This window comes from Homo sapiens, chromosome 6 (assembly GCF_000001405.40).
Source record: "Homo sapiens chromosome 6, GRCh38.p14 Primary Assembly".
In the NCBI taxonomy this organism is placed as follows: Eukaryota; Metazoa; Chordata; class Mammalia; order Primates; family Hominidae; genus Homo; species Homo sapiens.
Window position 1 is genome coordinate 127,568,896 of NC_000006.12, and position 24,956 is coordinate 127,593,851.

General features: G+C 34.6%; 1 protein-coding gene across 1 annotated transcript; it reads left to right on the forward strand.

Moving 5' to 3' along the window:
• The first annotated feature begins 8,278 nt into the window (after positions 1-8,278).
• Positions 8,279-22,925, forward strand: C6orf58 (chromosome 6 open reading frame 58). Its single transcript, NM_001010905.3, has 6 exons — positions 8,279-8,591; positions 9,791-9,877; positions 11,370-11,554; positions 12,287-12,387; positions 21,192-21,430; positions 22,648-22,925. Exons 1-6 carry the CDS (start codon positions 8,291-8,293, stop codon positions 22,725-22,727), a joined length of 993 nt encoding a protein of 330 aa, NP_001010905.1. The 5' UTR covers positions 8,279-8,290; the 3' UTR covers positions 22,728-22,925.
• The last annotated feature ends 2,031 nt before the right edge of the window (positions 22,926-24,956 follow it).

The window sequence follows — 24,956 nt, forward strand, 5'->3', positions numbered from 1 at the left end:
TGGTGGTCAAAGTATATTAACAATAATTGATTTTTGCATAAGAGATATATTTACGGTGGATTTTACCTGGCTAAAATATTGCCCTTTGTTGAAAGATTGCATCACTATGGGATTTTTTTCTTAAATTATTCAACTGTATCATACAGATTATAATTAATATAAGAGACTCCCTTTTAAGGCTTCAGTCTAAGATGTAGTAAACCAATTGATGTACGAAAAGATTATAGCAATGCTTTTAAATAATCCCTAGGCCACTTCTGTTTCAGTGTCAGCAGAATTCTATGGTATAATTATTGCATACTTGTAAAAAAAAAAGCATAATTTTTCTCTGAGGTAAATTTAAGAAAATTGTGATAGATTGAGGGATAGAAGATATAATGAATTCAATAGAAGACAAAACAAATAAAATTGTAGCAGAAAATGGTTTAAATATCTATTGAGAGTCAAACAATAAAAAATATAATTAAGAAAATTAAAAAGATTTCAATTAATTTAATTCTAGGTATATTAACATCCTATGTGGATTAGAGATGGTTAGCATTTGGTAACCATTATTAAGTAACACTACTCAATACAAGTACCACAAATAACATTTTTTTTTTTTTGAGACCGAGTCTCGCTCTGTCACCCAGGCTGGAGTGCAGTGGCGGGATTTCGGCTCTCTGCAAGCTCGGCCTCCCGGGTTCATGCCCTTCTCCTGCCTCAGCCCCCGGAGTAGCTGGGAGTACAGGGGCTGGCCACCACGCCCGGCTAATTTTTTTGTATTTTTAGTAGAGACTGGGTTTCACCGTGTTAGCCAGGATGGTCTAGATCTCCTGACCTCATGATCCGCCCACCTCGGCCTCCCAAAGTGCTGGGACTACAGGCGTGAGCCACCGCGCCTGGCCCATCTCCTCTCTTTATGGATCATTCTTGCTTATAGTCCAGTCTTGCAAGGACTTAACATAATAGGAACCACCTACTGATTTATTTCCCTCACCGTCTCTCACATCTTTCTTTCTCTGCTGAATGAGTTTACACTTAATTCCAAGGGCAATATTATAATCAAATCCTTGTGTATACATTTGTTGACATTCATACATCTGTGGGTGGATGTTAGAGCCTGAAAGGATTGGGGTTTAAGGAAAAATGGCATCAGGAATATTTAGAGACAACAAGTGTATACAACTTTTTTTCAGGAATTTTGCTGCAAAGTGGAGCAGTAAAACACATTTGGAGGGCAAGGACATAGGGTAAACAGCTCTAGGTTTAAGTATACGTAAGAGAGAATTTCTTATTTTTAAAGTTGAATGTTTAAGATATTGGCATGTTTGTATTTTTACTGAGGATGTGAAAAAATGTAGGGTATTGTCTTCTTTTAAAAAATATTTAAATATTTTTAAATGCCTTATTTAAAATGTGAACAAATTCTTCATCCTATATCCTTAGCAGCTACTTTCTTGCTTGTCTCATTTTCAGAGCCAAATTTTTTATTAAATTAATTATATTTTCAGTTTAAGTAATATAGATATATGCATGTGTGTATGTATATACATATACATAAACATATACACTTACATTTCTTAATGGTTTTCTTGTATCAATATTTTATTTGTTCTTTAGATGCTATCTCTGAATTTCATACTATGAAAGATTTAACACTCTTTCACTACACACTACACTCACACATTTCTTTTTATCCTATATTCCTAGAATTGTTAACTAAAATTTGTGGTGAAATAAATATCTATTGTTTAATTATTATGGTTATGTAAATATTATTGGCACCGGACCTACACAGCATAATCCTATTTCTTTCTCATGCAAACTTTTTCTTCTTCCTTAAGTTAATAATTGCTTAATTTCTCTTTTTTTTAGTTTTCTCTGTACTGAACACAAATCACTAACTTTTATAGAGCTCTAAAACTTTTTCCAGTATCGTCAAAGTCATCAGGTAATGTATGTTTTATTTAATATTTTTGAAAGTGCTCTTTCTTGAATCCCCCATCCTCATGATTCATAATATGATTGCTCTCTCCATCTCAATCTTCCCTTTATGAATATCATGGGAATTCCCCTCTTTTCTGTTTCACATTTCCTGTTTCTCAAACTCAGTGTTTTACCCTTTCTTGGTTTGCCTGTTTATTTGGTAGAACTTATATTCCAGGAGTTTCCAGTGAAAGTTTAAGAGGAAGAACATTTTTTGAGATCTTGCATATCAGAAATATTTCTATTTTAGCCCCACACCTGGCAGTTTGGCTGGATATTCAATTCTAGTTCTAGCTAGCTAGTTCTAGCTCCTCAGGATTTTGTAAGTATTGCTTCATTTTCTTCTACCTCCCAGTGCTTTATCTGAAGAGTTCAGTGGATTTCTTACTCATAATCCTTTCAATGTGACATAATTTTCCAGAGAAATTTTGGGGATTGCTATTATAATAAAACTCATAGGAGATACTTGTTTTCTCAATGGTCTCTGCAGAAATTACTCTATCTTTTAGTATTGAGTATTGCTGTGGCAAAATATGAATGACCCTGTTTATTCTGTCTTTGTATGTGACTTGTTTACTTTGCCTGAATTCCATTTACTCTGTCTTCATCTATTATGTTCAGTAATGTCACCAGGATATGGTTCAGTGCAGGCTATTCAGCATCTTTTTTTTTCTTTTTCTTTTTCTTTTTTTTTGCTGCCAAGTCAAGAAGTTCTTTATTTCAGGAAATCTTCCTTGCATTTTTTTATTCAACATTTTTTTTACTCTCTTCTTCAGATAGGAAAGAAAAATTATGTGTATTGGTCCTCTTCTTTCCCTATGTGTATAAACTTTTAAATAATTGTCATGTCTATTTCCAGTATTTATCCTTTTCTATTTCATTTTGAGTGATTTCTTCAGGATAGAATATTAAGTACCTGACATTATTTATATCATTTATAATTGCCACTTTTGTTGTTTCCTGTAACTATTTTATATTCTCTTCATCTCTAGAGCCCTTCAAGTCTATTTATCATCGTTTCTGATAGTTTCAAGTTTTTCAAGAGCTTATATCACTGTTTTGGAACACTTCATCTTAGTGATTTTTATTGTTCATAATTTCTGAGATGATAGGTAATTATTGTCTGAACTCTTTTTCTTTTTTATTAATTTTTATTTATTATTTATTTTTTGTTATACTTTAAGTTCTGGGATACATTCTGTGCAGAATGTGCAGGTTTGTTACATAGGTATACATGGGCCATGGTGGTTTGCTGCACCCATCGGCCTGTCATCTACATTAGGTATTCTTCCTAATGCTATCCCTCCCCTAGCCCTCTACCCGCCGACAGGCCCTGGTGTGTGATGTTCTCCTCCCTGTGCCCCTGTGATCTCATTGTGTCTGAACTCTTTTTCTGTCTTCTAGTACAGTTTCTCTTGTGATATAAATTGTTTGTATTTTGATTGTCTTATTTCCCCATTTTCCCCCAAAATATCTTTTAAGGATATTTTTTCATTTTATTCATATATATTTTCCAATTTCTATTATGACGTATCATTGCTTGCTAAGATTATGGTTATCTTGAATGGGGTCAGTTTAGGAATATCTGAAGAAAGGACACAGGAAGAATGAACTAGTAAAGCCTACAGCGTTGATATAAACACAGTTGCCTTAATAAATCTCTATCAAATCTGTACTTACTTTTTCCACAATCATGTCTCTCCTTAACTGTCTGAATCAATATATTTTGAATTTTTTCTGGGTAATTATCAGGATCCAGGTGTTTGGGGCAGCACACAGTAAAACCCCTCATCTCATCAGCTCTTAGTTGTATTATCTGGTGACTTCCCCTTCTTTTCCCTCCTTTACCAAGTTGCACATCTGACAGTGTCCTCTCTCAAAGGGGAAAAATTACAGATAATCAGAGTAACACGTTGGCCTGATTTATCTTTCAATGAAGATTTTAAATCATATCTCTAGTACAATATTTTAAAATCACTTATCTAGTTATATTCCATGTTGTGACTCTAGACCTGACAAAAAGGTAATGCATAACCTGTATTACATCAAGGAATTCAGTAAATATCTTTGTCTTCATGTGTAGCATATTTTATATTATCTGATAAATATGCTTCATAGTCTGTGATTTTCAAATACATTCATATCCTTGTTCCAAGGAAGATGTCATCTTGGTGGTTTCTTTTTTGCTTTCATTCTCAATATTTCATCATAAGGAAAAGCGTGAAAATCCTTTTACACTGGAGTAAATAGGAACCACTTTCAGAGAAAACAGTATACCCATAGGATATTTAATCAGGAAAAATATAATTACTCTAATATACTAAAATGTTTGTATAAATACAGGTAATATAACTCCCCAAATTAACTGTAAGATAATACTTCTTCTTAAGTGTCAGCCAGTTAAGTATTTTGGAATATTTGCCAAGAATTGTTTTTATGTTAGGAAAGTTAACCATAGCTTTTCTTTTTGTCAATTTTTTAAAAAGTTTTTGATTCTTACCACTCTACATGTGTGGCCATGAGCTGTGTGTTTTGCAAACAAAAGAATCTAAGCTTTTCTACTGTTATTGAGGATGGGAAAAGGAACAGGATGATGACTGCACTGAACTAATTCAATAATATAACCAAATCATTGATAAGTCAAGGTGCATATTAAAAAGAATATAGAAATGGATCAAACATATTCCAGAGTGGTTGTTTAATTTTAATGAAAGGCTTTAAAAATGTTTACATAGTTTTGTACTCTTTTACTCCTTTTGCCTACATCTTCTTATTTAGGTTTTTCCCATTCCTCTGTGTAATAAGAAATAATGGTTTTACTATTCTCTTTTTGTAGAGGAGTAAATTTAGGGTCCTCAAATTCACATTGCTAGTAACAAGCTTAAGTTGACATTACAGATCCCCTGTCTTCAATCTCCTGACAGTTGCCTCAACAAGGCCATCTAAATATACACTTGCAATCAGCATTCTAGGAAAATGAATAAAATAGCTTCAAGTGCCATAAAATGCAGATTTTTTTGAACACAATTTCTTCTCTTAATTAAGTTAAAATTTCCCTGTAATATTATTTGCATCATTATTTTGTGGCACAATACAACATAGCCTACAAGTGCCCTGGCTTTGACATCAGGCAGGCCTGGGATCAAAATTAGGCTTTCTCATCTGGGACCTGTATGTGATTTTGGGTAAGTCCTTAACCCTGATAAGTCTTAGTTTTATTATTGGTAAATTAGGATACTAATATTTATTTCACATTGATCTTTTCAAGTTTGAGTAATTGTATGTGTGTGACTCAAACATATAATTGTCTATCCAGTATCTAATACTAATTATCTTTTCAAATATCACAAACTTACCTTGAAAAGAAGTTATAATTAGTGGATTTAGGAGCAGTAAAACTATTTCTACTTTATAGTTAAGAAAAAATGGGCACAGAAATGTTGAAAGACAAAATTAGAATGTCTGTTCAGATTAGGTTCTCCAAGCAGTACAAATCCATAAAAAAAAATTGCCTTAAGTTAAAATTTTATTTCTTTCATAGAGACAGCAATCAGAAGTAGACAATCTAGAGCTGTAGAGACTAGAAACCAAAAGTCTTCTATTTTATTGTTCTCCTACCTTTTCTTGCTCCTTCATAATCTAAGACAGCATCAGTCTCTAGTTACATTTACATTCCAGCCAGCAGAGGAAGAAATAACAAAGAATAAAGGACAAGGTATAAAGGAGATTCCTTGAAAGCTGCAACTTAACAATTTGGCCACAGCTTTATCAAGTAGCTACATCTAGCAGTGAGACTAAATAATATAATCTCTATTCCAGGAAGACTCTGTTGTGCTAAGGATTAAGGGTGTTCTTACAAAGAAATAAGAGAAGAGTGAATATCACGTTATGTAACTATCAGTGCATGCCGTGATATGTTTGATGTTCATTTGAGGTTTATTTGTAAGCGTCTAACTTATTTCCTCTTCTATTAATAATTTTTGCATGAGAAGATCCAGATTCTACTATTGACATTATTTCTTTTATATCCTTAACAAATATCTTTCCATCAAGATGTGCTCTTACTTTTTTCCCACTGTATATGGGATTCCAATAACTACTCCACTAGTGGACATAGAAGCAATGTCTAGATCTAGTTCCAGTATAGCTCCTCTTTAAATTCTCATTTGTATTTTGGTCTTCATTTAAAATCTTTCTCTAATATAGTTCAATATTTCTGTTTTATTTAACCTGTAACTGGTCACACTATTACATCAATGACTGTGGTGTGTTACTTTAATTTTTGAGGGCTTATAATAATCTTCTAATATCTGTTATGGAAAGTTTCCTTTCACTATTATTATCCATTATTATTAGAGTTTTTGTATTTTCTTCATAATTTATTTTTTAGGCAAATTTTAGCCTCAGTCCTAAAAATCTTTCCAGAAAGCACATCTAAAAATCCTGTTAATATTTCTCATTTATTGTACAAATTTATAAATTAACATGTTGATAATGTTGAGTCTATTGAGAAACATTGTATGACTTTAAAACTGTTCAATTTTTTTGTAGTCTTAGAGATTTTTCCAAACAGATCTACCATAATTATACATTTATATGTTGGCCCTTTTGTTGACAATAAAATGAGGACTTTTCTTCCATTTTCACCTATTATATTTCCCAATTGCTTTTATATATAAAAGCTATTGATTTATATATAGTAATTTAGTTCTTAACCACTTTAGTAAATTTTTTCTTTGTAGTTACCCTTCTAGTTTATTCTCTTATGTTTTCTGAACACTGTCATATCATCTATAAGGGAAAGTACTAGCACATCTTCATTCTCAATTTTATACCTCTAATTTATTTATCTTTACTAACTTTATTGTTTGGTATCCTCAAAGAAAAGTTAAATGATTATAATGCTGGTGGTCATTTTTATTTTATTTCTGACCTTAAAGGAGTGCTCTTAAGATTTCTCCATTGAGAACAATCTGGCATTTGGTTTTAGAGTAACACATCTTACAGTACATATTCACGTATATATTCTTATAAACATTTAATATACTTTTAAAATTTCCAGAATGATTGCATTCTTGATCTATAGTAGCAATTCCTACCATTCCCTTTTATATTAATATATCTGGAAAATTTATTAATTATCAAATGGCTATTGGGTAAATAATATGACAGGAAAAAAGAGTGGAATCATGCTGTAGGATGTTTAATGTGGACCATGCCAGGAACAAGCAGTACCAGTGACCTACTATGAAGCATATGCATCTAATTGTGTAAATAATTGAGATTTTCAGATGCATTACCTATTAATAAGGCAAGAATTTTTACTATGTGTGAATAAAACTTCAATAACAGTGGTTGAAACAAGAGAGTGGGGTGTTTCTTGCTCAGGTAAAACTCAGATATAGGAATTCAAGGACATCTCATGGCTCCACAGCCCTCTGGGACTCAAGCCACCTCCAGCTTTGCATTCTGTCATCCCTAAGATAGTGCCTTGCGTTTAGGGGTCAGAATTGAATTTCAATCATCACATCAATAATCCAAGCCACAACATGGAGGAAGGGAAGAGGAATTGACATGTGCCCTTCATTTTAGGACATGTTCCAGAAATTGTGGATACTATTTCTATTTATGTCTCTGTGGTCCACACTTAGTCACATGGTTGCTTGTGTAAAGCAAATTGGAAATTTAGCCTTAATTCTGGGAGACCATATTCCCAGCTAAAATTCTACGATTCTTTTACTAATAAAGAATGAAAAATAGATATTAAGAATTAACTAGCAGGTTTTGTTCCAGCAGGCTGACTTTCATTATTGAATTGAGCTAATTAGATATTCTTTAAGCTTCTTTCTTGAAGCAGAACATTGTATTACAACTGGATCACACATATTTTTAGTACACATTTGAAGATTATTATAAATCCTAGTATTTCCATCTCCAGCTATTTAATATTTTCCATGAAATATGTTAAAGTATTTTTATTAGAGGGAAGCATTCTAAAGCCATTTGTGATGTATTTTGTAATCACAATGCAGCCTGGGAAACTTCTGGAAGGTTTTTGTTGATAAATAGTTTTATCTAATACATTATAAACAAGCCTAACCTTGTATTTAGGTTCTGACACAGTATTCTGACGCTGAAGAGTCTGGGAAATTTAATTGTCCTAAATGTTAGCTAATACATCAATTTCTTCTACATTTTCACCCTATCCAGGAAAACAAAAAAGCAAAGTGTTGATATGCTGTGAGGTTAGCAAATATCATGACTTCCTCTTCCATTCTCCAATAAAAGCCCTGCTACGATCGCAATCCCCAGCTCTGGCACAATGGCTTTTCTTCCTTCCTGGGTTTGTGTACTAGTTGGTTCCTTTTCTGCTTCCTTAGCAGGGACTTCCAATCTCTCAGAGACAGAGCCCCCTCTGTGGAAGGAGAGTCCTGGTCAGCTCAGTGACTACAGGGTGGAGAACAGCATGTACATTATTAATCCCTGGGTATACCTTGAGAGAATGGGGATGTATAAAATCATATTGAATCAGACAGCCAGGTATTTTGCAAAATTTGCACCAGATAATGAACAGAATATTTTATGGGGGTTGCCTCTGCAGTATGGCTGGCAATATAGGACAGGTAAGAATGACTCTTGTTTTCATTGTAATGATCTACCGATAGACCTATGAAGTATTTGGGAAATTGGACTCTGTATATACCCTACTATGTTTTTAAAAATTGATTCTTTATCTTGTTCTCTTTTCCCTTATAATCATTGTTTTTCTACCTATCCTTCTCCTTATCCACAAATCCTTCTTTTGTGGGTTGTGTGTTATTATTAGAAGCTTCAATGAGGCATAAGACATAGTTATCAACTGTGAAAAGACATCACATCTCATCTATTGAGCATTTCACAAATATTTGTTGAAGTTCTACTAAGTGCCACACTCCTTTCTAAGCAATGAGATGAACAAAACAGTCAAGGGGATATACAAAGTGATGTCCAATTAGTTTGAATTTCTTGAAGTTCTAATTATGATATGAGGTTATAAAGAAGCATCACATTGTTCATGAAGATCTTTCTCTGTAAAATGTTTGCTTCCTCTTGGAAATAAGGTACCTTACAGTGTATAGACAGAAGTTACATTTTGGGATAAAATATACATGAATTGAAAGATACTTTTGTTCTGGTTGATAGAAGCTCATGAGAAAGAGTGGTGCCTGTTGCCCACTCCCTGCTGATGACACAGCCAATAAAGAAATTATTGTGTGTGAGAGAGAGGTTAAGAAAAGAGCAATTTCATTTGGAAGAAAAACAATGATTATTTTCTAATATTTACATAATGCATATTACAGGTGAAACACCTTTGGTGCTTTTTCTCACCTCACATCACAACCTTATAATGTAGTTAATATTATTATCCCCATGTCATAGATGAGAAAACTAAGGCATTAGAGGTTATTTAGATAAAGTCAAGCTAGTAAGTGGTAGAGCAGGGGTTTGTTTTGACTCTCGACCATCTCTTTTCATCTGTATGCATATTGCTTCATAGTTTCGATTAGAAGGTAGAGGAGGAAATAGAAGAGAGTATCCTTACAAAAGTAAATAATATTTAGGACCTATAACTCAAAAGTAGAAAACTGTGTTGTTAAGGAAAAGGAAAGAAATTAGAAACTAAAAAATAAAAGATAAAAAAAGAATGATGGGAATACAAACACATATCATTCAGAAATAAATGCTTTTGTATCTACAAACAAAATCTATGTGGTTAAGCAATAGTTACAGCCAGTTTCAAAATGCGTATAATAAATACGACTGTGCATCCTCTCTCCTCCAGGCAGATTAGCTGATCCAACCCGAAGGACAAACTGTGGCTATGAATCTGGAGATCATATGTGCATCTCTGTGGACAGTTGGTGGGCTGGTATGTTCGTTTAAGTGGCAAAATAGATATTAACCTTTCCTGAAAGAAAGCATTCAAACCTAAAATCTTAGGGACAGAGACAGAACTAAAATAATCCTGTTCCTATTTTAAAAAGGAATCTATTTCACCGTGTACCTTATGGCCTTTAGGTCACTTTAAGGGATTTAAGAGCCACAATGTCAATAATGATTCCTTAGGACATATCCAGCTTTTCACAGAAGGACGAAAACAAGGTTCTGCAAAAGCAGTGGCCTCTGAGGGGCCAGCTCTGGTAGTTAGGTGGGAGGTCCAACTGATGACAAAGAATCTCCAGAATAAGGAACGATGAGAAGTGAGACATCAAGACAAATGATGCTTTTTCATTTTGCTCAGACCAGATGTGGTTAATATTGAAACCCATAAACATGCCAGAGATTAATACCTACTGCAATTCATTATACCAATCAGTAATCTCAGGCTTTAATCATATACTTAATGCTAAAATAACCAGAAGGTATTTTCTAATTCTTTCATTTAATTTTATGCTTTAGTAATGAAAACAATTTATACCACAAATCCTTAGAGGTATTTCTCAATAGTTAGAAACACGACCACATTAAATTTCACTTTTTCAGGGCAACACACATCATATGTATCCTTAAGCATTTTCCACTTACTACCCCTAGTTCTTTTAAAAGACTCGCGAATAGTAGTGGCCACAGATCTAGAATTCAGAGTTTGTTATTCTTAGATTGGTTTAGTAGTTTGGAGGATTAGCCTGCTACACTGTGGCATAGGATTCCATTCACAAATGCCTGTCTAGGATGAAATATTCTACATCACTGATTTCTAGTGGAAATCAGTATAAGCCTAATATCCAACTAATGAAAATGTCTGAGTCTGCTGGAATAGGTGATATATAGGTAAAATTTTTTAAAATGTGAAAATAGTCATGTTTGATTGTCAGTCTAATGGTCTATTGTCAAAACTTACCCAAAATTTGTGCTTTAAAGGATAAAATAAGATAAAAATTTAGTGATATCATGATTACAAATTAAACTTATGTGTATAAAATAGAAAACATTCATTTACCAAAGCTATAATCATGTTAAAATATTTTAGAGAAAAATACAAGTACAATTCACAATAAAACCGTAATGAGAGGTTTTGTACCATTTTGTGGAAAAGTTGATAGCTTTCTTCCATTCTTACTTAATGCTTTGAAAAAATGAATATTATGATATCCATTAAAATTACTTTTTGTTTTAAAATATAGTCAACTACTTTAGCCAATATGTTATATATTTATGACTATAAGGTTATTAACAGAAATGCAATCAAAGTTATATATTTGATCCTTAGGGGGATTTTTGTTCAATATTTTTTTCCTAATGGTTAGCTTTTATAATGTTTCTGGGTCTGTGAATTTTTTTATGACTTATGCCTTCCTTAAAAATATCCTCTTTGAAATTTGTTAGTGCTTGTAGTAATAGTAAATCTTTTGTTCTTACAGATTTGAATTATTTTCTGTCTTCATTACCCTTTCTTGCTGCGGTTGATTCTGGTGTAATGGGGATATCATCAGACCAAGTCAGGCTTTTGCCCCCACCCAAGAATGAGAGGAAGTTTTGTTATGATGTTTCTAGCTGTCGTTCATCCTTCCCTGAGACAATGAACAAGTGGAACACCTTTTACCAGGTTCCTTCTTTATACTCTTACGAGATAGGAAGAGAGTTTATTTTGTCATATAATTTCGTCTAGGATTTTTTTGTGCATTACATAATATTTTCCTTAGTATGCAGATGTAAATTGCTATGCATGATATATTAATAGTATATTGTAGAGTGTTATGAGTCATTAACACCTACTGCCTCAATACAGCATTAACATAAATCTATCCATTCTTCTTGCCTCAAATACATTATACAAAAATGGTGAGCATACAGGATATTTTGCTGAATGATTAATAAGCTATTCTGATTAATTGAGTCTTCATGTCCACTAGGATATTGGAAGAAATTTGACTAAAATCAATGAAGAAAAGATATATTTACTAGTACTTTAGTAGATTATTGCATTAGTTTAGATCTAATGAAACATTTTAAGAAGATATTTTTGTTACTCACGATTTTATGGTAATTTTAACAGTGTTAACAGGAAAAAATAAAGGCCTGATCGGTATAAAATATAAACTCTGAAAATACTTGAAGTTCAATACTTATAGATGCATATGCTATTATTAAAACTAATGAATATTTTTGTGTTATTTAAAGAGTGTTAGGCATTAAGGCCATATACATACTTTTTCTTAGAAATAAAATTCTTCTTTTATGTACAATATTGCTAAAATATATCTGAACATGACTAAATTTCAGGGAGAAGGATTTTATAGTTGCTCAAATATTAATAAATTTGACCTCTTTACCTTAGTATTTGCAGTCACCTTTTAGTAAGTTTGATGATCTGTTGAAGTACTTATGGGCTGCACACACTTCAACCTTGGCAGATAATATCAAAAGTTTTGAAGACAGGTAAGAATGAATCTTTAAAGTATCTCTATTTAATATGATAAATAATTTTGGGCATTATTTATATATTTTTCTTCTTCTTCTAGAGTGTTTTTCAATCTTTATATTAAATAATAAGCCTAACCATTGGAGATTATAGTGAGGATGTGTAAATATTTTAACATGATCAGGCTTAAAAAAGTGTTTTATGAAGAAGGGGAAAATTTTGAGAAAAAAAAGCCTTGCATGAAAAAACAAAAAAAAAAGCAACAGACAATACATTTTCCTAAATGTAGAAAACAAAATATAATATAAATATGTAGATGACCTTTATTATTTAATCATAGACACTGTTACAAGAAAAACTATAGATAAGATAAATGTAGCAGAATTCACTTAAGCAATGAATGATTCATTAATCAGCATCATCCTGAACCAGTAGAGGTTCAGAGAGCTTCACCCAGTGATGTGGGCAGGCAGTATTTATAGACAGAAAAAGAAAGTGACATATGGAAACACCTTGATTGGTTACAGCTCAGATTTGCCTCATTTGGACATAGTGTGGTGAGAAATTTGCCTTGTATAGGCATGGTTTGATCAGTTGGCAGCCTGTGATTGGCTGAAGCTCAGCTGCCATGATTGGCTGAGACCCATATTTGTTACAAGAAAATACTCTTAAGTTTGGTTGCAGTTTGTTTACAAACTACATTAAGTTGCAGTTTGCTACATATCGTGGCAATTTTAGGCCAAACTTAATTTAACAATTCCCCACCTTTTGGTCTGCCTCTCAATTTTGAGAGGTTGACCAAAACCTTGGGCATTGACATCACTCTCTGTCACTTTCATCATTGACTTATTTGGTATCAGTATGGAATTCACAGTTCACAAATCAGGACAGTTGACTGATTATTTATGTTCTCTTTATGTTTTCATTATTCTAATTTTAATGAGACCATTTGACATAGAATGAATAGCTGCATAAGAGGATTTAAGACTCTGGGGAGGTTAAGGTGCACCAGGGAAACTATTATGATGGCTGTCAGGAGGCTGATACTAAGAGACAGAAGGAACCTCAATGAATTGAACCAACATAAATCAAATATATAAATAATAAGCCAGAAGAAAAATCTACTTGTTTTAACCAATTGGCTTGTTTGTTGATTTCTTACAACTGAGCTTCTACCCTACCTGATGAATTTACTTAAGTACAGGAGGGAGTGTTAGCTAGCGCACATATTCCTCCCTAAAGGTAGTCCAAAGCAATCCGGTTACCTAATATGCCTTTAGCAAGAAAATCTAAAGAAGTTTGCTGGCCAATTGTAGCCTTTGCAGTAGAGTCAGCTGTAGTAACTAATGTATGAGACGTATTTCTAAGCATAACCTCCTTTACATTTATACAAAGCCAGGGAAGGAATTTTTTACCCAACAATACCCATTAAGAAGAATTCATACCTGCTGGTAAATTCCTCTTTATTCCATAGTTCAAATTAAGAGTTGCAGACCAATATCCAGTTTCCAATTAGTTATGGAGTGACAGGAGTACTCTTGGAATCCCTTAATTGTCGGTGGCTCCTTATTTTGTAATTATTGAGACATGGATTTGCCCACATATATGGTTGGTTGTTAAATCCTCCACAAATAAAAATATATTCTGGAAGAACCCTACAGATAGTCTCCTGTGTGAGATGCCTTGTGCGTTATGAGTCAGCATTATGAGTCAGCATTAGTAATATTTGTCTAAGGCCTCATTTTTTAATCATTGTATGGTTAGAAGATACTAGCAACTAAAGGATTAGGGTTATAAATTTGCCTACAAACGTCGAATTATCTTCCTTTTGTTTTTCAAATTCAATTCTGGCTTAATTTAATTACCATACTCTCATTATAGGTTTTGCCTACTGTTAGATTTAAACAGGCAATCTGAATATTTGAATCTAAAAGTCTAGCTGTTTAGAAAGAACTAGATATTGCACATGGAATATCAGTGAAATTTCTTACAGGGTGAACCAGAGTATCTCTAAGATCATGTGAGGATTTAGGTTTAACATGACATATGCAATACTCAGTTAAGTTCCATGCAGAAGTAATTGAGTATGAAATCTTCATTATCACATTATATTGCCATGTGTAGACAGAAAAGAAACATGGGCCAAAAAGGAAAAGGAGAAAAGACTTCATGTTGACAGAGGAGAAAAGACTTTATTCATGATCTTGGGAAAGCTGTCTACATCAAGGATGCCATCTTCTTCTGGGGAAAAAAAACGTTCCTAGTAAGCTTTACCTGGAGATCTCCGATGGGTGTACAGTCCCAGGGGTCTGGAGGGGCTCTCTTGAGTTGAGAAATGTGGATCCAAGACTCAAATCCCTGAAGTTGTGCTGCAAAAAAGAGCTTGGTGTGGTACCTTCTGATGGAGTTCAAAGGCAGTCTTTCTTTGGTGTCGTTTCCAAAAGAACTGATCTCTAGGTTCTAGAACATGGAAAATCTGGTTGTTATCAGCTGGTGGGCTGCAAAGGGCTTCTTTTATCTGGTGAAAATATGCTTTGGCAAAATGCATTGAAGCCTCATAATTTTGAGTCATATCAGAGTTTAGAAGAACATGAGATATATGAGATTTTATTATTAGAGACATAGTCCTTCCAAAAACTATTTCATAAAGAGTCAATCTGTCTTTTCCTATAGGAGTGGATTTGATTGCTGTCAATCAGTAGGACCTTTGACCAATGCAATCCAACAAATTCTATTAACTTTTTCTAATGCCATTTTGTTTGTAATACCTTTTTAAACTGTTTTACAACTTTTCTGATAAAATGAGTGCCTATATTGCTAGAGATGTTTCCAGGAATGCCCTATAAGGACATTTTCTAATAACCTTTTCACTATTGTTATAGCATTTGCCTTCTCGCATAGAAAAGCACTTATAAAACCAGAAAATATGCACTGAAGGTGGCAATTGAATTAAATATGTCTGTAGGTGTTCAAATGATCCAGCATGTGCCAAAAATATATCACTTGAGGTTTTTATTGCCTTACCAGCATTATCAGTTTAACAAACCAAATATTAGTGATAAGGCATTTCAGAATAGTCACTCCACCAATATTTTCCTCATAGTTTGGATTATTTTATCTCTTCCATGATGAGTATAGAGTTTTTAATAATGGAAGCTTTTAGGACCCAGGAAGGACTAGGAAGCCATCTGTGCTTTCCATGAGTCCATATTTAACATTGAATTTATATTTTTTTAAATGTCAGTTTTGGCTGGCACACCCAGCACTTTGGGATGCCAATGCAGGCAGATCACGAGGTCAGGAGTTCAAGACCAGCCTGGCCAATATGGGAAACCCCGTCTCTAGTAAAAATACAGAAATTAGCCAGGCGTGGTGTTGCAGGCCTGTAGTACCAGCTACTTGGGAGGCTGAGGCAGAAGAATTGCTTGAACCCGGGAGGCAGAGGTTGCAGTGAGCTGAGATTGCACCACTGCACTCCAGAGATTGGGGACTGGGTGACAGAGTGAGACTCCATCTCCAAAAAAAAAAAAAAAAGTCAGTTTTGTATTTCCAAATCAGGTCAATAGCTTGCTTATTAAATAGGTTATCATAGGTAATTTGACTTGAGTCAACCTCATGATATTTGTTCAAACTGCTTATCTAAACAATTTCAGTTCTGGCTGACATAGCATGAAAATCTGCCAAAGCATTTTCTTAGTAATCAATTAATTCTTGTTCTACTTGATGTTGGGTTAGAAGTTTTATGAATCAATCAATCTCTTCCTAACAGTTCTGGGAACTCTCATTCGGTCCAATGGGATGATCAGATTTCTAGGAATTTCATAAAATTTCTGGAACATATATTAATAACACATCCATACAAATACAACTTAAAGAAGGTTTAACATTACTTATTATTTGACAATGCTTTCCATATTATTTATCAAATAGGCCCAATTACTTTAACATCTCTCTTTTTGTAAGGACGGATATCCTTTTGAGATGTCCCAAAGGCCCATCTGCAAAGCCCCAAAATTAATTTGAGGTCAATAAAAATACTTGATTTAGAATTTGATTTTTTGGAAGCTTGCCAAAAATATCAAAGGTTTAAAATACTTGATCAAAATAGGATCACAGATCACTTGGAAATAATAGTCATCCATTTTAATCAGAGTGATAATTTAAAGACTTTAAAGGCAAATGCAGAAAAATTACATAGTTATAGAAAAACCTTCGATCTTTTATAGAGAGGACTCAGTTGTTTAAATGATCAAAAAACCTAATGAAGACAACATGAAGCACAGGAAATTATCTTAGTAAAATGTGGAATCTTTGTTTTGTAGGACAATTACTTCAAGGGTAAAGAAAAACTTTTCACAGTGTCATACTAAGAACAGACTAATACTCCAAGAAAACCTTGGCTTAACACAGGGAAACAAATTCTAGTTTTGCATCAGTGTACCTTTGATATTAATGCTTGATTTTTAGAAAAACGTATAAATAATTCTCTTCTAATTTTAGCCAACTTGATCAACACAAAATTTTTTTTCACAAGATTTATCTTTCACACACCTTTTATAACTTTCTTATACATTCAGTTTTTGTCCTATACTTCCTCTCTTCTCATTTTGGAACAACCTGTCATTCCATACCCGGATAAAATTTGCTCTTCTGTTTCTTGAACAAAACGAAATATCCTCATATATTATAGCTTTTCTTACCAAAAGCACATTTTACCTGTCTACTTGCATATAGCTTTGTTTTCCTTATTTCTAGTGATTTCAATTATATATAATTAAGAATCTTAACTCATATTAACCTAAATTTCCAGTGAACACTAGGAAACAAGCAATTGTGAACTGTTGTGCCAGTAATCTGTAGACTGATAAATCTATGAATTATACTTTCTAGAAGCACGTGTTTTCTCATGGTAAATTTGTCAGTGTGGCACAAAATATGTTTATTAACAGTCCCAAAAAGCAAAGGAAAAGTCAGGCACACAGACTTTCAGTCAGGCACACTGACAGGAAAAGTCAGGCACACAGACGCTTCGAAGGGTGAGGGGAATGGAATTTATGGGGCAAAAAGGAAAAAGGAAAAATAATTCTCAGCAAACCAAGAGAGTCCTGCTAGCAGGTTTCCTACCTCACAGTTTGAACAACAGGCCACCACTCGAGCTGAAGAGAGCAGGCTCCTCCCCTGTGTAAGGTGCAAATTCCCTGTGGCTCCACCCCATGCTGCCAGTGAGCATGCGGGCATGCTCAGACAAGGCCCTGGGCATGTTTCCTCATCTGCACAAAAGCATCTGAGGTAAACACTTGTGGGGAAGGTTGGAGGATCTCTGGGGACCCCTTTTTATCTGCCTAGGCATTTGGCTGTCTCAACACTATGGTTCCAATAACTTCAAGTCTTTTCTCTTGAGCTCACCCAGTTTCCAGAAGAGACTCTTTCAGTCACCTGCTTCAGAAGTGAAGGCCTGGCTGTTAGTATTATTGAAGTCAAGAGAGAAGGAAGAAGCAAGGGGAGAGTGTCTTTGCATTCAGTATATCATTTACACTTATATCCTGTTTCCAAGGTGGTGTTCCTACCTTCAACCATGTTTAGTTCACACAGTTCAAGGACCCTCTGTTCTACCCTTTCCAGGGCAAGGAGTGGCAGTTACCTACTATTTGAAATCTGGAAGGAAATCTTTGTATATGATTGCTTCTTTAAAGTCTTTTAATCTCCCTGATTTTAGCAATCTCCTTTTACCCAGAAGGTATTACTAAGACTTAAATCGAGGAGAATTCTACAAATTATATCAGCATTATTTTTCTATTTTCCTCTCTGTTTACTTAGAATTTAATTTTCTTGATTCTATTAAATCTTTTCAACTAGTTCTTTTCAATTTTCAGCTTCCAAAATCTTGTTGTTCCCCACGTGTTCTGATTTTATTTCTTGTGTCATTTTTATGGAGATTTGTTAGGTTGCAAAAGTACAAGTATTTGTTAAAAACAGCATTTTTACTAAAAAACTCTTTTACCTAAAAATTCCCTTCTATTGTCTCTTTAATTGGGATCAGTTCAGAATATAATAAAATATTGTGTTATGGATAAATTTATATATAGGTGCACTATTAAGAAAGCTAAAAATACATGTTTTCTATTAATTCACCTCACTGAAAGTTTAATAATAGTTCCTCAGGCAATTTGAATATTTTCAAAGGCTTATATTGGCAAAAGGTAAATCTTTTAATATGATTATTTTGGAAGATTTCAAATACCTGCTTATGTGCTCTGATTTGTTAATCTACCTGTTTATGAGGTCTCTGCTTTGTCAAGGTCTATGAATTCATATTACAAGATTCAAGGCTAATGATTGTTCCTTGAAATGAAGTAATAATGTACAAATTAAGATGTTTTGCTTTGAAGTTCCACAGACCTGAGTTTTAAATCCTGGCTCATTTGACCTAGGAGTTCAAACAAGGAGAAACTCAATTTTCTTATTTTTAAAATAGCAATAACAATAGTACATGCCACATAGGGCAATTTTGAGGATTAATTAAGAAATCCATAGGTTATGCTTAACGTACTGCTGGCATATGAGAAATATTCAATATAAAGTAACTATTATCACCATGACAAAAAGCAGTAGTAAAGAACATGGATTTTAAAGGCAAATTGACAGGGTTTAAAACAGGGCCCTGCAATTTACTATGTGTGAGGCTCTGAGTTAAGTTAGCTTTGTTTGAAAGAAAGCAGCCCAATCAACAATCACTAAACCTCAGTGTTGTACAACTGTGTTTATTGCTCAGATGTCTGGGGTTTAGATATGCTGCTCTGCTGATCTTTCCTGGGTTCACTCTCATGTTGGCTGATTTTGATTGGCTCCAGCAGGGATGACTGGGGAAGCTCAGCTCTGTTCCCCGTCTCATTCTACATCAGACAAGCCTGGTTGTTTTCCATAATGATGGCAGAATTGCAAGAAAGAATAACCAAATTGTGAAAATGTATTTCAAGTTTATGCTATGTCAAAATCGTTAATATTGTATTTTTTAAGTCAAGTTACATGACTGAGTCAGGAGTGGGAATTTCTGCCTATCACTTAATTTAGGAAGAACTGGTAATGAAAGTTACATAGCAGAAGACAGAATTGTAGGGATTGGAGAACAACTGGGGCCATGGTTACAATCTATTGCATGCTGTGAAACAACCCTAAAAGCTCATCAAGTTACTTTCTTTAGGCAAATATATATTAAGGAGTATTTACTTGAGACAGTACTGTATATTTTGTAGCTTGCATATACTCAAATAAAACTCTGTGGCTCTGTATCCTCAGATTGGCTGACTTATGTATGCCTGTGTTTCAACTTTATGTGAATCATTTCAAGTGTACTTTAATTCTTTCTTTGGTGACCACATTCTATCTGATCATTAGGTGAACTGACCAACAAATCATTCAACTGATGCATTTGAAGAGTTTATTATTGAATTTCTTCACTGCTCTTGTGATTTCTGTGTATTGAACTGGTGCACTCATCTCTTCTCTCCCAGTGATTCTGACTTACTTCCAATTTGTTTAGTACATTGTTACTAGACCTCTGTGGCCCTTGCTCAAAATCTTTATGACTTCATATTTCCTTTCATCTTTGCTTGGTAGGTGACTGTAATGTATTAAGGGGCATTGAATCCCGACCAAACACTTCTGTCATCGACAATCCAACTCTGCCCACCCTACCACTTCCAAGTATAGGGCAGGGAGGATCCCACAAGCATAGGAATCAAACAGATAACAGGTATTATCTGGGTTATGTTATAGTTTATTTAATCTCAACAAGCATAATGCAAGTACCTTCTGTTTAATGTATCTTTTCTATGTTGCTGTCAAAATAAAATCAGATAATCGAATTTCTAGACATGATAATAGAATATAACTAGAGAAAAAAATCCTTCAAATATGTGGATGATATAGTGTTATGGGAATATAGAAGAGAAGAAAGTGGTAGATTCCACCTCAGGTGGGCTGGAATGCCCTTCACCTTTGTGAAGAAGGTAATATCTATGATGAGACTTGAAACAGAATGTACCTGCTGAACCACATGGTGAGTACACAATGTCTCAGGGAGAACAAGTCTGTTTGCAAAACTACAAGTTGTTTAGCATGCTTAGACAGCTCATAGAAACAGAAGACATGACTTTTATAGTTCTAAAACTACTGAATATAACTTTAATCTTTCCATTGTAATTATTTGTCCCCATTTCTTAGGAGAAACTAAACTTTCTCACCTATTATGGGGACAAATAGTTACAGAGGCTTTTCTAATAATTACAGAGTCTTTTCTAACAATTACAGAGGCTTTTTTTCTACCTGAGGCTTCCTGTGGTAGAAGAATGCCAATTATTTACAATTTAGATCTAGATATTATTTTTCTAGAAATCTCAATGTTTCTGGGATCCCTGGCTTTAAGAAATCAACAGTTTCACAAAGGATATTTGAGTCTAGCAAAAATTTTGCTTTAGACCTTTGATATTTATCTCTACATTGGCAAAGAGTATGATTTAAAAATGCCTTACTTTTGGTTATTAGGTGGTATTCAAGTATAATGTGCTGAATTAAAGAAGATAAAATGCAATGTAAAATGTAAACAATTAGTGAGATGATTCTTCCTAGATTTAGAATTTTAATGAGCCAACTTCACACCTCCTGAGGGATGGAATAAAGTCATCACAATATCAAGCCTATTTTCTAAATTATAAAATTATGAATTTAGTTTGTTGGCAAGAACCAATATTTTCTGAAGGCAATGAGCTTGAACTTCTGAGGTGACTAATTATAATTAAATACTTTTCCGTTTGTCTTTTAGATATGATTATTATTCTAAAGCAGAAGCGCATTTTGAGAGAAGTTGGGTACTGGCTGTGGATCATTTAGCTGCAGTCCTCTTTCCTACAACCTTGATTAGATCATATAAGTTCCAGAAGGGCATGCCACCACGAATTCTTCTTAATACTGATGTAGCCCCTTTCATCAGTGACTTTACTGCTTTTCAGAATGTAGTCCTGGTTCTTCTAAATATGCTTGACAATGTGGATAAATCTATAGGTAAGAACCTTAAAAGGATACTTTTAAAAATCAGTATTATGTTGAACAAATAGAGGAAGAAATAATAATTAAATCAGTGATATAAACATTACAGCACTCCAAAAATAAAGATTTCCCTGTGGGTATCCATTCTATTTCTTTAGCAATAATCACTCTTGATATATAGAACCATTTAATGAGCACACATTTTAATCTTCTTACTCATGGTCTGTCCTTTCATCTGGAGACCATGTTGAAACTTGAAGTTGGCAAACCAACTGAAACACTTTTGTTTTGTTCTACATACCGATATATATTCCTTATTTTGCTCATCAGATCATTTAAAAAAAAAAACTTTCTACTTTGCTCTTATATTTAAAGAAAATGAAGACATTTCAAAAGAAAACCTGCCATGATTAATGAAATTACTAGCAATTTGGCTTACTTGAGTTCCCTTGATCCAATACTATTAGTCATGGAAGAAGGGTTTTATTCTAGCCCTTCAAATGCTGGATCTTCTAGTGAGGTAAAAAAAACAGAGGGTTCTTTATCTACCAGTTTGAAAGTGACTATATCATTCCCATTTGCCATACATGAACTGAAGCATTGAGCCAAATTTAAAACGTTTTTCAAAGCAAAAACATCAAGTCTGAAAGATAAAAATGGAGTAAATTAAACATGAATAAATTAAACCTATGTTTAAAAAAAACCTCTGCATCAGTTAGAGTAACAAAAACATCCAAACACTTTATAGACTTCATACAATTGAAGTTTTTCCTTTGGTTCTAGTGCAGCATTCTCTGTCAGTAGGCAGCTTCCCTTCACACAATCAGTAGCAGACCAAGTCTTCTTCATTCTGTGAAAATTTTTCTTGGAGCTTTTTCCCAAAAATGAGTTGATCCAATTTATTCTGTTTAATAGATATATAGTGTTATTATTAGTTATTGCCAATAATATAACAATGACATTTTATATATATTTTTCTTGCATAATTTATTATTTTATCACCAAATTCATAGAAAGAACGTGAAGTAAAGTTGGTAAGTCAGGTATTGCCAAATGGTATTGCCAATAATTCTATGAATGACATGCCATGCTTACTTTTCTTTGTATAATTTATGATTTTACCATTAAATTAGTAGAAAGGAAATGAAATAAAATTATGAGCCATATATTGCCAAAAGGTACTTTAAAAAATTTGCAAGAGTTTACATGTAATCATTTTGTATCTTTTACAGGTTATCTTTGTACAGAAAAATCTAATGTATATAGAGATCATTCGGAATCTAGCTCTAGAAGTTATGGAAATAACTCCTGAAACATTTAACTTCAAACTTCAGGAAATGATTAATGAATTAAAAATGAAAAACTCGAACTTGACAATCAGTAATTTCAAAAAATTAATGTCATCATGACCATGTAGTTTATTCTTTCTGATATTTTTGATTTATGCTTATTTGTTAAGATCTTGTACATGTATTAAAAACTTAAATTAAATGCATTCAAGTTAAAATAATGATTATTTTGCTCATGATTTTAAAATTCATTAATGATTAAAATGTTTAAGATAAAAGGATATTGCATTATGCTACCAAAAAATAACTGAGAAATTAACAAACATATTAAACTTGTGTAGCTCTTTTGTTGTTATCCTATCATCAAATTTCATGACATTTAGACTAATATATATTGCTGATTTATAACCAAAATCCAGATCATTTTGAAATAAAATACTGACAGGCAGTTCAAATTTTTAAAATTCATAAAACTGACCTGGAAAGTAGAATACACTAACTCATGTGTCAGTTTTCTCTGTGTTTTTGCTGACCACAAGTTTACAGCAATTACATGATAGAGTTCCCCTCCTTTCACCCACACTTGATAATGAATTCATTATATATAAAATATATAATTAATAAGTGAGAATACACTGGCCAGGAGGTGGTGATTTCTAGAGCTGACACGAAGCTTTCATATGAAAGTTTTCCCGGGTCCTCATTCACATACTAAATCTACCCACTAACTGTTGGAAAATGAAATTGGACAAATTGGTTTGAATATATGGGTACTGGATTAGGAAAGATGTAGTTTAAATCTCAGCAATGGCTGGGCGTGGTGGTTCATGCATGTAATCCCAGCACTTTGGGAGGATAAGGCGGGCAGATCACTTGAGGTCAAGAGTTTGAGACCAGCCTGGCCAACATGGTGAAACTCCATCTCTACTAAAAATACAAAAATTAGCTGGGCGTGGTGGTGTGTGCCTATAATCCCGGCTACTTGGGAGGTTGAGGAAGAAGAATTGCTTGAGCCCTGGAGGCAGAGGTTGCAGTGAGCTGAGATCGCACCACTGCACTCCAGCCTGGGCAACAGAGTGACTCTGTCTCAAAAACAAACAAACAAACAAACAAACAGAAAACTCAACTCCGGTTTGCCGGTTGAGTTGACCTTGGGCCATTTTTCTAGCACTGTCTGTGCTTCAGTTTACTTATTGTTAGAGTTAAGATTATAAAACCTACATTGCTAGATTATTTTGGGGAGTCAATAAAAACATAAATACAATGGTGGCTCGAGTTGCAGAAAAAAACCGTGTTCCTGTCACATGACCAGGAAAGATTAAGCTTGCAGACACTTTGAAGGGGGAGGGGGAATGGAATTTACTGGGTGAAAAGGAAAAAACTCAGCAAAACAGAGGGGTTCCTGTTAACAGACCCCCATCTCACAGATTGAATCCCAGGTTACCACACAGGAAAAGGAGAGGCCAGGCTCCTACCCCTGCAAACAGCATGAACTTCCCAAGGCTCCACCCTGTCACCCTAGAGCTCAGGACGATTGGAGATTCTCCGGGACCAGCAGTCTGGTTTTTCAGCCTTTGAGCTGTTTTAGGCTTGAGGGTGGGGCTTCACTAGGGAAACCTTTGGCTGCTTCCATCTGTATCATTCCCCCTTCTAACTGCCCTTAGAATAAGGATAAGGGTAAGGATAAGGATAGAAGATGGCCGAATAGGAACAGCTCTGGTCTACAGCTCCCAGCGTGAGCGACGCAGAAGACGGGTGATTTCTGCATTTCCATCTGAGGTACCGGGTTCATCTCACTAGGGAGTGCCAGACAGTGGGCGCAGGTCAGTGGGTGCATGCACCGTGCGCGAGCCGAAGCAGGGCGAGGCATTGCCTCACTCGGGAAGCGCAAGGGGTCAGGGAGTTCCCTTTCCTAGTCAAAGAAAGGGGTGACGGAGGCACCCGGAAAATCGGGTCACTCCCACCCGAATATTGCGCTTTTCCGACTGGCTTAAAAACCGGTGCACCACGAGATTCTATCCCGCACGTGGCTCGGAGGCTCCTACGCCCACGGAGTCTCACTGATTGCTAGCACAGCAGTCTGAGATCAAACTGCAAGGCGGCAGCGAGGCTGGGGGAGGGGCGCCCGCCATTGCCCAGGCTTGCTTAGGTAAACAAAGCAGCTGGGAAGCTCGAACTGGGTGGAGCCCACCACAGCTCAAGGAGGCCTGCCTGCCTCTGTAGGCTCCACCTCTGGGGGCAGGGCACAGACA